At 39.3% G+C, this 16348-nt stretch overlaps 1 protein-coding gene across 25 annotated transcripts in view, besides 1 other annotated feature; it reads right to left on the minus strand.

Annotated features, from left to right (window-relative positions):
* The window catches only part of EBF1 (EBF transcription factor 1), a 403997-nt gene that overhangs the window by 377889 nt on the left and 9760 nt on the right, over nucleotides 1–16348 (minus strand). For all 25 annotated transcript variants that reach the window (NM_182708.3, NM_001324108.2, NM_001324106.2 and 22 more), the window contains exon 5: nucleotides 10858–10931. In NM_182708.3, the coding sequence (NP_874367.1) occupies nucleotides 10858–10931 (74 nt within the window). The remainder of the gene's footprint in view (nucleotides 1–10857; nucleotides 10932–16348) is intronic.
* Nucleotides 8026–9321: an enhancer, noted in NCBI's record as "VISTA enhancer hs1117". NCBI's record gives its function as "enhancer in: neural tube[7/8] | hindbrain (rhombencephalon)[7/8] | forebrain[7/8]" and the evidence as "EXISTENCE:transgenic organism evidence [ECO:0001131][PMID:17130149]".

Raw genomic sequence — 16348 nt, forward strand, 5'->3', positions numbered from 1 at the left:
TTGTGGGTGGCTCAAACGTTCTTCCCTCAAGATCACACTAATTGTGTGGAACGCATCAATAATGAGGTATGAGTGATTTCTCCCCCTCCAGTCATTTTGTATTAAATGGATTCCTTTTTCTTCTCTTTTCTCCTTTATGGGTAGCATTTCCTTCAACCACAGCCTTTCCAAAAATCCTACAGCTAGGTTTGCTTTTGAACCATTTTCATGAGAATAAAGGTAAAACACAATAATTAAGACAAGGAAGGGGCAAGATAAAAGAAAGTGGAGATTCACATTCCTCTGGCTATAAAAGCCTGTTCTGACCCTCACTTAAGTTTTCTGGGGGCATTATGGACATTGGAAGTAAAGGTTAGCACAGCTCTGTGAGAGGACGCTCTTTATGTTAGAGAAGGAAGAGCCTATGGGCTCGAAAAGTACCTATTACTAAAATCTCCCCTGCCAGTTGTGGCTGCCAGTTTTTTAAAAACTGAGATGCCTTCTAAAGGGTGAACATTTTATGTTTTTGAAAAGTACAATGGTCAACAGAAAACGATCCATCTGAAACTTGTTTGCAAATAAAAACAAGATCTGCACCAGGGGCATACTTATAAAAGCAGTGAAGTAGATGGGGAGGGAGGTCCTCCAAAACTTACATTTCACCAAGCACCACAAGCAAATATGCACTTCTTGCTCTTACACACACACGTGTACACAGAGAGAGATACACACATACGCGCACACTTACAACTTAGTGAATCATACAGCCTAAATTTAGAGGGCTGCTGGAGAGAACCAAATATTGAACTTCATCTTCAGGACCCAGAAATATACTCCTGCGTAGGGAGTCCTTCACCAAAATTGGAAAGTCTCTTTTCTTGCCATAACTATGCCTCTGAGAAGAGAATTAGTCTCCACTCTTAAGTGTCTTCTGTTTTTCTTTCATGTCTTCGGAGAGTAAGAGTAAGAACTGTATCTCCTTTGTCAAAGCCTCGGCTAAAACCACTCTGTCTACCTTATAGCCTTTCACCTTCTGATTCAGAGGGAACTATTTCCTCCAGGCCTGAGTTCTGCTATATACTGCTACTTTTGGGATGGAAAAACCAAAGTATCATGATATCTAAGAGACAGATAAAGTAACAAGTAGTTGAAGCAGTGGAAAGTACAAGCAGTTGAAATGCATGCCAGAAAATACATAAAAATATAACTCCTTCATCCCTGAACTCTGATCCCCTATACCTACATTTCATGGGCTTCTCAGAATAGTATAGTGGTTAAGAACACTGGTTCTGAAATCTGACAGAGCTGCCTATCTCAACTTGAGCAAGGTAATCCACCTCACAGGATCTCAGTTTCCTCATCTGTAAAATGGAGCAATTGCAGTATCTACCTCTAAATGCCAGGGAACAGGCTTGAGGCAATAAGGGTATAAAGACTTGGCTTCATGACTAGCCTCACTAAAGCCACAATGAAGCATCATTATCACCCCCTGCACCTACCCTCTTCAGTCCCTTCCTCCTTCAAGTCCAGGCAAATCTGCCCTGTGCTCTGCAGAAGCAGCAGGTCTCCAAAAGCAGCCCATCGACAGAGCCCACGTCTCCTTTACCCATGGAGGAAAACTGCCGGTTGAGAAAACCTATTTCTCCTTCATTTTCCTTTTCAAAACAGCAAGTAGGCAATGCAAGCTGCCCACAGACCTGCCTGGGAGAAATGTCCTCCAGGAACTCCTCCAACCTGCTTGCTGATAACCATGCACAAGGGTCTGTTTTTAAAGCCTATCTGATTTTCTCCTCCCCCACTACACCATCTCCATCCAAGTCCTTGGACTCTGCAGTGGCTGCCTACTTTTCTGTCTCCACTCTGACCCCCTGCAATAGCCAGAGTGAGCTTTTCCAAATGTCAGTGGTACTGTGCCATCTCACTGCCCAAGACTTTTTAATGGCTTCCCACTGCACTTAGAACAAATCCATGACATGACATGATACCAGACCACCTCCCAACCTTCTGCCCCCTTCCTCCAACTTGCCAAGCTCCTACCGCACTGGCCCATTTCAATCCCTCTCAGTTGTGCCCTGTTCAATCTGACCTCAGGCCCAGACCCTGGCCGACTCTTGCCTGGCGGGCCTCTCCTCCAACCCTTCCCTAGTTAGCCAATCTTTTCTCACCCTCAGAGCTCAGCCTATAGCTCCTTCCCCAGAGAGGTTTGGCCTGACACCCCACCTTTAATCTAAATTAGGTTTTTCCTGTTTTTTTTTTTCCTTTTAAGGCACTTAACTCAATGCAAATTATATTTTTACATATATGTGTGTGTATTTTTTGTTACTGTCTTTCTCCCTCTTCTTATTCTTCTCTTCCTTTAACTCATAGACTTCGTAGAGGAAGAAACTATCAATTTTACTTACCTAATGAGTGGCATAAGGCCTGGGGTAGAATAGAAAAGCTCAAATATTAATTGATTGAATAAATGAATAATTTTATGAATGAATGTTATGTATTGGGGGGCAAATACAATCCGGAAGAATAAAAGGGTGACAGATAAATCCAAGGCATTGTTGATGGAAGGAAGGTGCACCTCATCCCAACCCGTAGAACAAACCACCTCCCCCAAGCATGCCACACCAGGCCTGAGATTTTTCCTTTTCACTTAAGCACGGTCGTCATCTAAAAATAAAAATGTCCCTGAGAGCAGCCAGATGAATTGAAGCATTCCTTTCTAAGGGACCCAGGGAAATAGGCAGATGCAAAGAGCAGAAGTGTAGAAGGAAATATAGAAATGAAATGGGGAGAATGAAGAAAAGTAGAGAAAAAAGAATAAAGGGCTGGAGTTCACTCACCACTTACAAAAAAAACTTTAGGCCAAGTATGAAAAATAAGCCCAACATGTCTCCTGTTTCTTGGGTCATATCACTGCATCACATAGTCATTATTCCTGAAATGAGCTACTCCGGCTTCTGTTCTGCACCTCAAAATAATGTCTGCTACAAAATAATGTCTACAGTATGATTCTGTTAAATATATATATACACACACACATACATATGTGTGTACATACATACATATGAGTGTACATATATGGATGTGTGTGTACACATACATGTGTATATGGAATTCTGTGCAGCATTAAAAAGAATGAAGGTAGAGTTAGAAGCACTGGAATGGAAAGAAATGTACAGCATATTGTGACTTGAGAAAACCAAGTTGCAGAATACTATTCAAAGTATGGCCCCATTTCTGGGAGAAAAATGAAAGCATGAAAGAGTGAAAGGGAGAGAGGGAGGGGAAGAGACAGTTTTTACAAGTATGGTTCACTCCCTCACTTCATTCAAGTCTCTGCATAATGTCAACGGCTTTAGAAATGCCTTCCCCTCTGGGCATGGTGGATTACACCTATAATCCCAGCACTTTGGGAGGCCAAGGTGGGTAGATCACCTGAGGTCAGGAGTTCGGGACTAGCCTGGCCAACACGGTGAAACCCCATCTCTAATAAAAATTTTTAAAAAAATTATCTGGGTGTGGTGGTGGGTGCCTGTGATCCCAGCTACTCAGGAGGCTGAGGCAGGAGAATCGGTTGAACCCGGGAAACGGAGGTTACAGTGACCTGATATCGTGCCATTCCAGCCTGGGTGACAAGAGCAAAACTCCGTCTCAAAAAGAAAAAAGAAAGAAATGACTGCCCTAGAGCACTCTAGCTCCTTATTCTGCTTAACTTTTCTTCATAGTACTCACCATGTTGTATTTTATATTCATTTGTCTTTTATTGTCTCTCTCACCTGAATATAAGCCCCACAAAGACAGTCATAGACCCCAGCAACTAGAACTGAGCCTGGCACACAGTATGCCATCAGGAAATATTTTTTAAATGTAGGAACTTCAAAGAGTTAACCTATAGAGAGTGGAACAGGCAGTGGGGAAGAATGGAAGACGTGCATTTTATTTTTATATTTTTGCAGTGGTTTGCTTTTTTTTTTTTTTTTTTTTTTGCACTCCCAGGCTGGAGTGCAGTGGTGTGATCTCAGCTCAGCTCACAGCTGCCTCGACCTCCTGGGGCTCAAGCGATCCTCCCACCTCAGGCCCTTAAGTAGTTGGGACTACAGGCAGATGCCAACACGCCCGGCTAATTTTGTGTATTTTTTGTGGAGACTGAGTCTCACCATGTTGCCCAGGCTGGTCTCAAATTCCCTGGCTCAAGCAATCCACCCAGCTCGACCTCCCAAAGTGCTGGGATTACAGGTGCAAGCCACCACGCCCAGGCTAGTGTTCTGCTTTATATGGCAATATGCTTTTACATTAAAAATTAAAAATCAACCACAAGCAGTGGAAGGAAAGACTTCTTGTAGACTGAGCTGATATCAAGCCCCCTGTGGCTTCCTAGAGCCGAGCAGAGTGAGGACCTCTCCTTTGTTGCCACAATGCTCTTTCCTGCCCATGTGAGTTCTCCCTTTTCAGGTAGAACTGCCCATAGTTCTTTCTGCTAAGCTCAGAAGGACCAAGAGTGAGCACCAACCTCCACTATACACAGGAGGAAACCAGGAAGGAAAAGCTGAAAGGAGAATGAATTCACTTATGTTTAAGGCAGAAGAGGGCTCATACTGAAACAATTCCGTAGATGAAACAGATGCAAAAGCACTTAACGGAAAAAGTGACAGTGTTAATAAAAGAAATCACAATGATAATTAGGTCCTCATTACTGTGTGACTGATGGACCTTCATCCGTTCAAAGCACTATTTTTTAGGCTCCTACGATGTGTGTTGGGCACTGTACCAGGCACAGACTTGGGATTTGCTCTCTCATGCTGGCATCTTGCAAGGCTTGGAGTTTCCTAATTTGCTTTGCTGCCAGGGTAAGATTTTAAAAGCAGGCCACTGTTTACATCCCTTCCGAACCTGCAACCCCAGTGACATGAGAACAATGTGGCCAGTCTCAGGCGTTGGTAGCCAGCACCTGGTGTGGTACCTACACTACGGACCGAAATCAGCAGCCCTTTCCTCAGCAGGATTGTGTGTCTCCCAAACAATTCTGCACATCCAGAGAAAAGCGAACTTATGAGTCTCTTTCTTACCAGCCTAACACAGGTGGCGTATTTCTAGAGCTTCATAAACTAGAGCAAGAAACACCTAAATATTCCCAGTCATGGAATCGGCAGATCCTCATCTTAGGGACATGGAACTTTTTCCTATGAATAGTGTCTTTCTCAACAGGAGGAAAGCATCATTTCAAACTTGTAAAAAACAAGATGCCTTACCTATTTCCCTAAAGTGGCTAGAGACTGAGATCTATGATTTATCTGAATAGTCTTATTAATAGTTATAAAGATGACTTGATTTTAAAGAATCCATTACATAATAGGCTCTTCTATCCTCTCTCTTCCTCCCATGTCTTAAAGTAAGTGATCCATCCTCGTCACACTAACTCAAGTACCTGAGCTCACAGGTCCGTCTCATTCTGCCTTACCTGGGACCAGCCCCACCAAGGACTCCTCTTCTGTTTTGCATTTGCCATTCTTCCCTCCCTGGTTAATTCTTTCCTTCAGTTTGCAAACATTATCAAGTTTTCCCATTGTCTAAAATTTTAAAAGGATGCTCCTTCTTTTCTCTGAGTTAGTTTCTTCACTGCCGACATCCTTCTTATAAGAGTCCCTGTCACTACTTGCCATTTCAACCACATAATACGGGCATCCAGGCCCTCAGCATGTACTTGAATCTCCTCTTAAAGTTTACCAGTGACTGTCTGGTGCTTTCTCAGCCTTCATGTCCATCTGGATCTCTCTAGCACTTATTATATGACTCCCCCTCTTTGAAACACCCTCCTTTTATCTTTTTTTTTTTTTTTTTTTTTTGAGATGGTGTGGAGTCTCGCTCTGTCACCCAGGCTGGAGTGCAGTGGCGCAATCTCTGCTCACTGCAACCTCCACCTCCTGGGTTCAAGTGATTCTCGTGCCTCAGCCTCCCGAGTAGCTTGGACCACAGGTTCACACACCACCACACCCAGCTGATTTTTGTATTTTTTGGTAGAGATGGGGTTTCACCATGTTGGCCAGACTGGTCTTGAACTCTTGGCCTCAAGTGATCTGCCCACCTCGGCCTCCCATAATGCTGGGATTACAGACATGAGCCACCGTACCTGACCTCCTCCTTTTATTTCTATGCTCTGTATGCTCAAGCTTCTTTTTCTGAACTCTCTAACACACCCTGCCTTCTTGCTAAGCGTGATTATTCCCCCCAAGAATATAGCCATGCCTTCTCTTTCTATTCTCCCTCCCTTGTCAATCCCATCTAAGCCCATAGCTTCAACTCTCACCCTTGGGAAACGACCTCTGAAGTCAGTTATCTTTGACCATAACTTTATTTCCAGATCCAGAACTCAGGACCATCCACCTGCAGGACTCTCCACAGAGAAATTTTGGCTGGACTGAAACAGACGTGCCCAAACACTTCATGCACCCTCTAAAATCCCCCTCCCTATTCCTGCTACCCAACTACAAGTATTTCCTCCCTTCTCTGAATAGACATAGCCCTTTGCCTCAACCTCTCATCACATTCAACCCTTTCTAGAGTGCAGTCTCGTTATCTGCCAACCAATATCATCTCCCAGGCCACACCATAAGCTCCCCTACTACAGAACAAAGTCTTCCCTGGCTCTCCGTTTTTGAGTGTTTTGCACATAGTAGGTGCTAAAAGAATAAATGAAAACATCCTTAACTCCCACAACTAGAATGAACAAAGTGCATGAATGTTTTGGTAGACATTTCACTTTGATTCAAAGTTCTTTTATCCTCATTCACACCAAACAACTGCGCACCAAGTACTTAGCCCCACACTGCAAATATTGCTGTTACTGCTTCTATTAATACAAATACTCTTACTATTAATAATAACAGTAGATATTCAGTACTTACTGTGTGTAAAGGCACTGTGATAAGCATTTGTGGTGATTATTGCATTTAATCTTAATCACCAACTTCTGAGATAAGTAATATTATCCTCTATTTCAGAAATACGAAAACTGAAGACAGAGGAACACCCAGTAACTTCCTTGCCTTCAAAAAGCAATCAGTCCAGCAAAGGAAGACAGATTGTGGGCAAAAAGTTACAAATGTGCTGAGTGCTATGAAAGAAAAGCACAGCAGACAGTAGTCCCCCTTATCCATGGTTTTGCTTTCCATGGTTTCAGTTACCTGTGGTCCAGTACATTTTTTTGTTGTTGTTGTTTTGAGATGGGGTCTCGTTCTGCCACCCAAGCTGGAGTGCAGTGGTGCAATCAGGGCTCACTGCAGCCTGGATCTCCTGGGCTCAAGCGATCCTCCCACCTCAGCCCCCTGAGTAGCTGGGAATACAGGCATGCACCATGCCTGGCTAATTTTTCTTTCAGTTTTTATAGAGATGGGGGGTCTCACTATGTTGCCCAGGGCAGTCTTGAACTCCTGGGCTCAAACAATCCTCCCACCCTGGCCTCCCAAAGGGCTGGTATTCTGTACAATATTTGGAGAGAGAGATCACATCCACATAGCTTTTAATACAGTTTGTTTTCATGGTTGTTCTATTTTATTACTAATTGTTGTTCATCTCTTATTATGTCTAATTTATAAATTAAACATTATCATAGGCATGCATGTATAGGAAAAATATAGCGTATGTAAGGTTCAGGACTATCTGCAGTTTCAGGCATCCACTGTGGGTCACGCAACACATCCTTCATGGATAAAAGAGGACCACTGTTTACAGGACAACGTAACAATAGGACTTGACTCAGGCTGAGAGCCAGGGATGCTTCCCTGAAGAAGCCATGCTTAAGTGGGAATCTGAAGGATGGAATCAGAATAAGCCAGTAACAGAGAAAGGAAGAAAAGGGAACTCAAGGGAGCCCTGAGAACTCATGGTCCTATAAGAAACCATACACTGATGAGGGAAAGAGGTCTTTCTTAAACAGAGCTCTGGGAACTAGGTTCACTGACCAAGCATAGTTCTTATTTTCCATCCACATTTAAACACAGGATGTCAGGATGCCCTTTAATCAAATCTCTTCTAGAATCGTGCTTTAGAAAATCATGTGTGGGGCCGTATTATTTTAAGAGCGTAGCCAACAGGTATAGCAAAATGTAATGATGATTGATATGATAGATTCCAATTTACCAAACAGGCAGAGACTCTCTCAGAATTTCACAGAAAGAGCTCCATGTCCAGTCAAAGAGGCTTTGTCTCTGAGTGGTAATAATAATTATAATATGATCCAATGGTGGCCAGTCCCTTATCCAGCCCAGGCAGTGGGGTCACCTTTCAGACAGAACACAATGGATTTTAAAAATTTGCAACCACCTGAGACACAATTCTCTGGTGTTTCTCATTTTTTCTTTTTTTTTCCCCCTTTGCCTGCAACAAAACAGAATCATACCAAGCCTTGTCTTGTCGATCTAAATTCTCTGTGTCTCCTTCACCATAGCCAACATACTATAAATATACAGCTTTCATGACATCAACACAAAGTTTTATTGTGCCGTTAGCTTTGATAGAAAGCACTGCAGAAAGTTGTTTAGAAATTAAATATCTGAAACAAGCTATTTTAAAATCCAGGGCCCTCACTATTTCATGTCTGCAATGAAGAAATTTCATCTTGGGGAGAGCAAGCTGTCTTTCACACCATATGGCTAATGGTGGTGCATAGCAATTAGCCAGCCTGATTAATGGGGAACAGACTCTAATTTTATGCTTATAATTGAGCCTGCATTTGCACCCCTGGTGCAAATTCAGCACATCCCAACTTCCACTTAAAACAGGCAAGAAATCAAGAGAAATAGGATGGTGTGGAAAGTGAGAATTTTTTTCCTAAAGCCCCCTAAAGAGCATCAGATTTGCAATTTAAAAGACTGTTAGCCACACAATAGATGACAGGTTTGTGTAATAGGGTCATGGCAGCCTGGTAAACAAACAGTACCCCTTATACATCTATAGGCAGCCAGGAAAACCCGTAATCTGTAACATTAGCAGGATGACATTTTGAATACGGCTTTTCCCTCTTAGCCACGCAGTACAAACATCATCATTTGCCTTCAGTGGCTTCAGAATTTTATTTTTGCTATTTTTATGTTTCTGAAAAATAGAAAGAACATCAGCAGTAAAGCACACCAACCAGCATAATAAAGTACTTTGGACCAGTGAATTTTAAAAACAAGAAAAATATAAACTGCATTAATAGAGGGTAGGCCTGTGTGTGAAAGGCATAATATATCTTTAAATGTTTCAAGAATAGAATGATTTCTAGCATAGTCTAAACATGTGCAGATATGAGATGCAAATCTATGATATATAGATGTTATTTGGCCTATTGGTTGAGATCCATCTTCCTGTCTGTTTCCTATTTTGCTAGAATCACATGTAGTACAACATGGAAAATTCATTCTAATGACATGCTAATTGTAAGAAGCCAGAACAGAGATATGGTCAAAAAGATAGTAAGAAGAAAGAGGTCATGTTTTAACATTTTCTAAAATGAATTTTACTCACAATTCTGAAAGGTGCAACTCAGCTTTATTGTAGAATTGTTATGTACAATATAACATTAATTTTTGCCTAATAATATCTTATAAAGAAATCTATTGCCATATTTTGGGGGTTCTGCTACTGTTTTAAAATTAGAGAAAAACAACCTATTTTCATAATAGTTAACAAGTTTTACAAATCACTGAAATGAAAACTTGTGAAACTCCTATATATTTTAGAATAATATGTTAGAAATATTTTTAAAAGGGAAAAAATGAAAATTGTATATCCATACGTAACTGTAGACATACAAGAAGTTGGTATTTGGGATTTCACTCAGAAAGCACATTAAGCCCTTTTTCTTTCCACCTGTAGAGTTTTAAGGTTGCTTTCCCCCACAAGTCCACAAGCAGCAAATAAAGCCCATCCATGCTGAGGCAGCAGCTGAAGCCCTAAACGGATTGGTCAGTAATAGTCAGCAGCCAGGCCAGCATTGTGCCAGGAAGAGCCTGCATGGTTAACAAAGCAATTAGTAGCCTTTCTCTGATGCACAGTGGCATCTTCATGCTTTATCCAATTATTCAGAATATATTGGGAGCAAACTGCTGGTGTTACTTTATGCAGAATAAGAATGCAAGTTAAAGGGCTGTTCCCTGGCCTACTCCCTCACATGTGGAAAGCCTGGCTGAGGCCATGGAAGTTAATTTGGTCTACTTGCCTGTTTTCAAATGTAGCTTCAGTCTGATTACAGGCAAAAATAAAGACACTCATCTATGGGTCACATGAATTTTATGCCTTTTAGGGACTCATCTTTGCCTTCCTTCCAAAAGCTCACTACCTCTGCGAAGTATTGGCTACATTGTCAGAGTTATATATAGGGTAAATAAGAGGTGAGATGCAAGAGGAAGAAAAAAAAAACCCACATGCAATTTAAGAAGAAATGATGCCTAAGTGTGGACGTCATATTTTCAAGTGGGAGAATTAGAAAGGGGAACTATAACTTTCAAGTCTTACCCAAACAGAAGACTCTGCTGACATCAATAGAACTCTTACTCATTTTACTAGCAATGCAGTTGAGCGCATATATTAACACTAAAAGGGTTATATTGTTTTATTTGATTTTAAGAGAGTAGGGGAAGGCAGTGCTTTGTGCCCATTAACAGTGTGATATCAAAATGGAAATGTATGTCTTTCGGGATGAAATCTAATAAATAATTAAGAACTACTGTGATGCCTGACACTTTACTACCAAATACTCACATCTAACAGTTCTTTTTAGATTGTCTATAGAAGCAAGACAAATGTGTACCAAAAAAAAAAAAAAAGACCAAAGTTCACCAAGATTTGAAATGCAAATTCATCTTCTCTTTGCTAATTAACGGGAGAGACCAAGATATTTCTTACCTGCACATGATCTCATGTGTGAGCAAGACTCGGCACATTTCTGGGTTCTTGTCTTGGCCTTCATACACTATGGCCTAAAAGCAAAAGCACAGTTTTAGCTAAGAATGGAAAGGAGTAGCAGAAAAAAAAAAAAAATCACAATTGAGTTCTTAACCACTTCACCACTACTGAAGGCCAAATTAGCTTTGAGGAGCCAAAGACATCACTGGGTTGATCGTCTGAAGGTATGATATTCGGGATTAACCTGAAAGGCATGTTCCTCTCTGCCCCTTCAACCACCTTGCCATGATGCACATCTCTGGATCAGAGTATGAGATGGGCAAGACAGCCACAATTCTCCTTTTAATATAGAATACAAATAAATCTCATCAATAAGGAGGGAAACCCCAGAAGGCTTAGCAGATTGAGATACTATTTAGCGAAAATACAGAAAAGCATTTGGATTTGATTTTTAAATGATATGTATTTGCCTCCTCACTTTACTACTTCCAGGCTCAACATTTAGTCTTCCAGGGATGGGTAGTAGAAAACAAGTGTAGGTGAACTAAGGAGTCCATTCACTAACTGTGTCATGTTTGCAATGATTTATCAATCAGGGAAAATCCCTCTTCCCATCAACAGGCTGAGAACATGTGCTCTCACAGGGTGCACACCCACCCAAACAGGAATACTCGCTGGCATATGCTCTGTGTGTGGATTTAAGCCATAAAGTTATCTCCCTAAACTAAGAAGAGTTACAACTGACTCTCAAAATCTGGAGTCCCAAATCACCTCACCAGCCCAAATAGTTTTTTCTATTTTTTGTAATGTGTTTGTAAAACGAACATTTTACTCAAGGACACCAAGAAGATTCCCTGGGACCTCAGCTTTCATGGATCTACATGTTAATACCTGGACCAAAGCAATGCACACAGCTATTAGCAGAGCAGGGCTCTGCAGTGGGCTACATTTAGCTAATTTAACACTGTATCACGGCATAATACTAATATCACACGGCTTCAAATTGTTAACAAAATTACTTTCACACATTCCTATAGCCCTCAATTTCTTGATGACAAAACTACTTAAATTAGCCAGAGACTATCTTTATATAGTACATATATCTTAATATAGTATATATATCTTTATATAGTACATACAGATGCTACAAGACTAACTTGTAGTTGACTCTAACGTGCTTTGTTTTTGAACCTGGGACTTTCAGAACCTGTAAATGATGAATATAACTTGCGACCCAGTGTGTATAGATCCTCAGAGAGAACTGTGGTTATGGTATCTGATCCCGTTACAAAATGAACATTGCAGTAAAATAAAAAATGAGAAAATGTACTTGCATGAGGAAAAAATACTTCTCCACCATTGGCCCATCGAAACCACTTTTTATGGCTAACCTATAATACCTTGTATTTTAAAAATTTTTTTACTTTGACATACATGTACACCTACAAAAAGCTTTCAAGAATATGTAAAAAATTCCAAGATACTCTTCATCCAGATTTTACCAGATGACTAAAATGTTTATATTTTATTAAATTTGCTTTATTCTTTTCTCTGTAGTTTTTTCTGAATCATTTATTAAGTAAATTGCAGACATGCCCTAAATACTTCAGCCTGTATGTCTTCAAAATAAGGAATTCTCTTACATAACCACAGTACAGTTATCTAAATCAGAAAATTAACATTGATACAATAATTTAATCTACAGACCCTACTGAGATTCACCAGTTACCCAATAATGTCCTTTACAGCAAAAGAAAATCCAATGCTGCATCCAGTTATCACGTCTCCTTTAATATGGAACATTTCTGAGTCTTTATATTTCATGACATTGATATTTTTGAAGAACACAAGCCAGTTATTTTGTAGAACATCTCTCAATTTGGGTTTGCCTGCGTTTCCTCAGGCTTGGATTAAAGTTACATACTTCAGGGCAGGGATAACACAGAGGTGATTTTGAGTTCTTCTCAGTGTATCAAATCATGTTGTTGACTAGTTCCACTATTGGCAACATAAATTCTGACCATTTGGTTAAGGTAGTGCTTGCTATCAGAGATCATGAGCCAGGTTTCCCCAGGGTAAAGTTATTACTTTACCCTATGCAATTCATAACTATCTTCTGTAGACGTAATCCAGATTGTGTTAATATCTTACTATGTGTCAAATTTTCATCCACTAGTTTCAGCAAGCATTGATTATTCTTTGCTGTATTCTTAAAAGACCTTTTCAAAATCCTAAGCAGTTGCATTACTCAAGAAAATGCATTAACTAAAAATGTTTTGAAAACCAAAAATTACATCTGCCTGCTTTATTTCCTGCAATCACTCCTGAAAACATTTTAAAAAACACAGTAAATTACTTATTAGATCTCATACATGATGCTAAAAAACTCTAATGAAGCATTTCTTCTAAATCCTATTAGTACTACATGGTTTGTATGTTCTCTAAATACTCGTAATAATCTCTGTTTCAGCTTTAATATTTGTGATGTTTTGGTTCCACCACTCTTTAAAAAATAATATATTTGTCATGCTAAGCTAAAAGAAGTAAGCTGGTAAATAAATTCACAGATACTGATGGGGCTTTCCCTAATATATATATATATACACACACACATATATATATATACACATATATATATACACACACACATATATATACACATATATATATACACACACATATATATATACACATATATATATACACACATATATATACACATATATATACATATATATACACACACATATATACATATATACACACATATATATACATATATATATACACACACACACATATATACACACACACATATATATAGAAAAGCTTGGTTTTTGGAGGCAGGGGGAATTATCAGTTACATCAGATCTTTTTATTTCAATTCTTTCTAGATGACGCAAATATTAGTTTCACTAAGACTGCTGGTTCCATTGAAATTAGTGGGCCCATGATGATATTCAATGGATGCAATGCTGCAATACAAATACATTCATGGTTTTCCCAAACAGCAGATGATACAGACTTCCAGAAATCCTGTGTCACTTCTTTGGTGACTGAATATCACTTGTTTAAGGCCCTTTGCCTCCATGATACATCTCTTCACCAAATACCACACTGCCACTATGCTTCCAGCAGCAGAGTCAAAACAGAATCTTTCTCCAAATCAAGCACAGAAAAATGAAACCATCAGTTTGGATTTGCTCAGAAATAGTTAGGAACTCTAGGGAGGAGTGCAAGCATGAAGTTTCTTCTCTCCCTCTCCTTGGGGCCTCTATAGAACAATATTTTTCAGCACATAAAGGCAGAGAAAGAAGTGCTGCCTCCATGACTTCTGAAATAAAAGCAAGTGAAACTCCACCATGGAGTAGGACTAAAATCCTGTAACTAAAGTAAACTAAAAACTCAGTGTAATGAGGTTAGCTCTAGAGTGGAATTCAGTCAAAGACAGATCCACCTCTAACCTCATCAAAGCAGTTTTTGTTACTGAAAAGTATTGTTAAACACACATACACACATGTACCCCTATCATACAGAAGGTATGGGCACGGAAATCAACATCCTGATTGGATCCAGCATAGGAATATATAATAAATTCATTTTGATGAATGTCTCTGATGCAGAGTGGCAACAATAAGAATTTTCAAAATGCCCTAAAGTTCTCCCTGCAGCTTGCACACCCAACTGATAGCCCTACATCAATTTTACCATCTACATTTAGCATACACATCAACACTGGTCCACAGTTCAGCAAACCCAGACTTTAAGCCCCAAAGGACAGGGATCCTGCTAACACCAACTTCGGGAGAAGTTTCTGCGTTTCTTCCTAATTTAAATATGTGCCTCTGTGGTGTATGAGTAAAGCTGGTTGGGGTTGGATCAGCTGGGAGATCACAGAAGCATATAAACAGCATTGGCTATTTTAAGTGAAACCATTTTAATAGACAGCTGGTTTAGGGCCCAGACAATGAAACACCAAGAAGAAGGCTTATTTTCATCCTCCATAGTAAATCATGAGTCTGCTCACTATGAGGAAGGTTGTCTGTTGTGAGAGGGACAAAGACAACACTGGTTTAAATAAATCAATGTGTTTATCTGAAGTGAAGATGGGATGCCTGCTATATAGATGGGTGGGAGGGGGAGAAAAATCATATAAAATATATTATTTAAGTAAATCAATTGATAGTGAATCAAGTTGAGGTTTGTAACCTAAGAATCAAAAATGCAATATCAAGTAGAAAACAATGTTTAAATTAATCCTGCCAATGGCAAATAAATCCCTTAAGGTGACAGGAATGCTTGTATAAGAGGAAGAGTTAAATAGTAAACAACATTAACCTCATCTCAACTTTAAAAACCTGGTGAAATTGACAAACAAGCTGTCAAAAGTGGATATATTTGGAACAGATTTATTTTTGTGATATACTAGCCTACCTTTTCTGCTGTCATACTCTAATGAGTAGAAAGAAAATATCTCATATTATTTTTTGATACTCTCTTCACTTCAGATTAAGGGGCTTTTAAAGGATATTTAAAATAATTAACTAAAAGAAGAAGAAAACATCGAAATTGTTAAACTTGCATATTCTTATGCAAAAACATCTCTGGAAATTTCACTGTTATGAATAAAATATCATCAATTCTAAACGCTCAATTATAAAGTAACCTGTAATATCTTTGAAAATCAACCAATCAATCAATATACAAAAACCTGCCTGAGTTGCCACTGTTTTGAAAGACATACTGTGAAGCGTAGTTCATTCTAGCTTTTCTTAAATACTGCTAGGTCTTAAAAGTTAATTGAAACTTACTATGGGTAAAGACCACACAGTAAAATGAAAAAATACACAGTGAATGTACACCGGGATCACACTTCAATAGGATGCCAAAGGAAATACAGAGAATTGAACATGGTTTTTCTGTGTTTACTTTTCTAATAGTTTTAACTCTTTGTGTTCCACGACAAAATAAAGGCGGTGAAGAGAATACTTTTGACTTTGGTTCAGCAAAATCCAAAGGATTTTTAGAAACAAAATATTTTCATTAGGAACCTTTCTTGATTTATAAGCAAACAAAAGGAAACTTATCATCATTAGTTGAAGAAGAGGAAGAGGAAAAAGAAAAAAGAAAAGAAGAAAGAAAGAAAGAAGGAAAGAAAGAAAGAAGAAAAGAAAAGAAAAAGGAAGAAAGGAAAGGAAGGAAAAGAAATTAAGAAAAAGAGAGGAAGGTAGGAAGAAAGGATTGGAGGGAGGGAAAAGAAAGGTTATCAGTAACTAACAAAGACTTCTAATTTTCTATTTAAATCAAAACTGTACCTTGAAAATATGTTACTCCTTTTTCCCCTTACAAAATAAAAAGCCAAACCTACTTTGTCACCTAAGAGAATAAGTTCATGAATGCACAAAGTACCTGCTGTAACCAAAAGTGAAATGTCTTCTGAATGCAAACTGTCAACAAGCCTTTGGCAGCAAATTACCAAGAATTGAGCTAA

This window comes from Homo sapiens, chromosome 5 (assembly GCF_000001405.40).
Source record: "Homo sapiens chromosome 5, GRCh38.p14 Primary Assembly".
Classification (NCBI taxonomy): domain Eukaryota; kingdom Metazoa; phylum Chordata; class Mammalia; order Primates; family Hominidae; genus Homo; species Homo sapiens.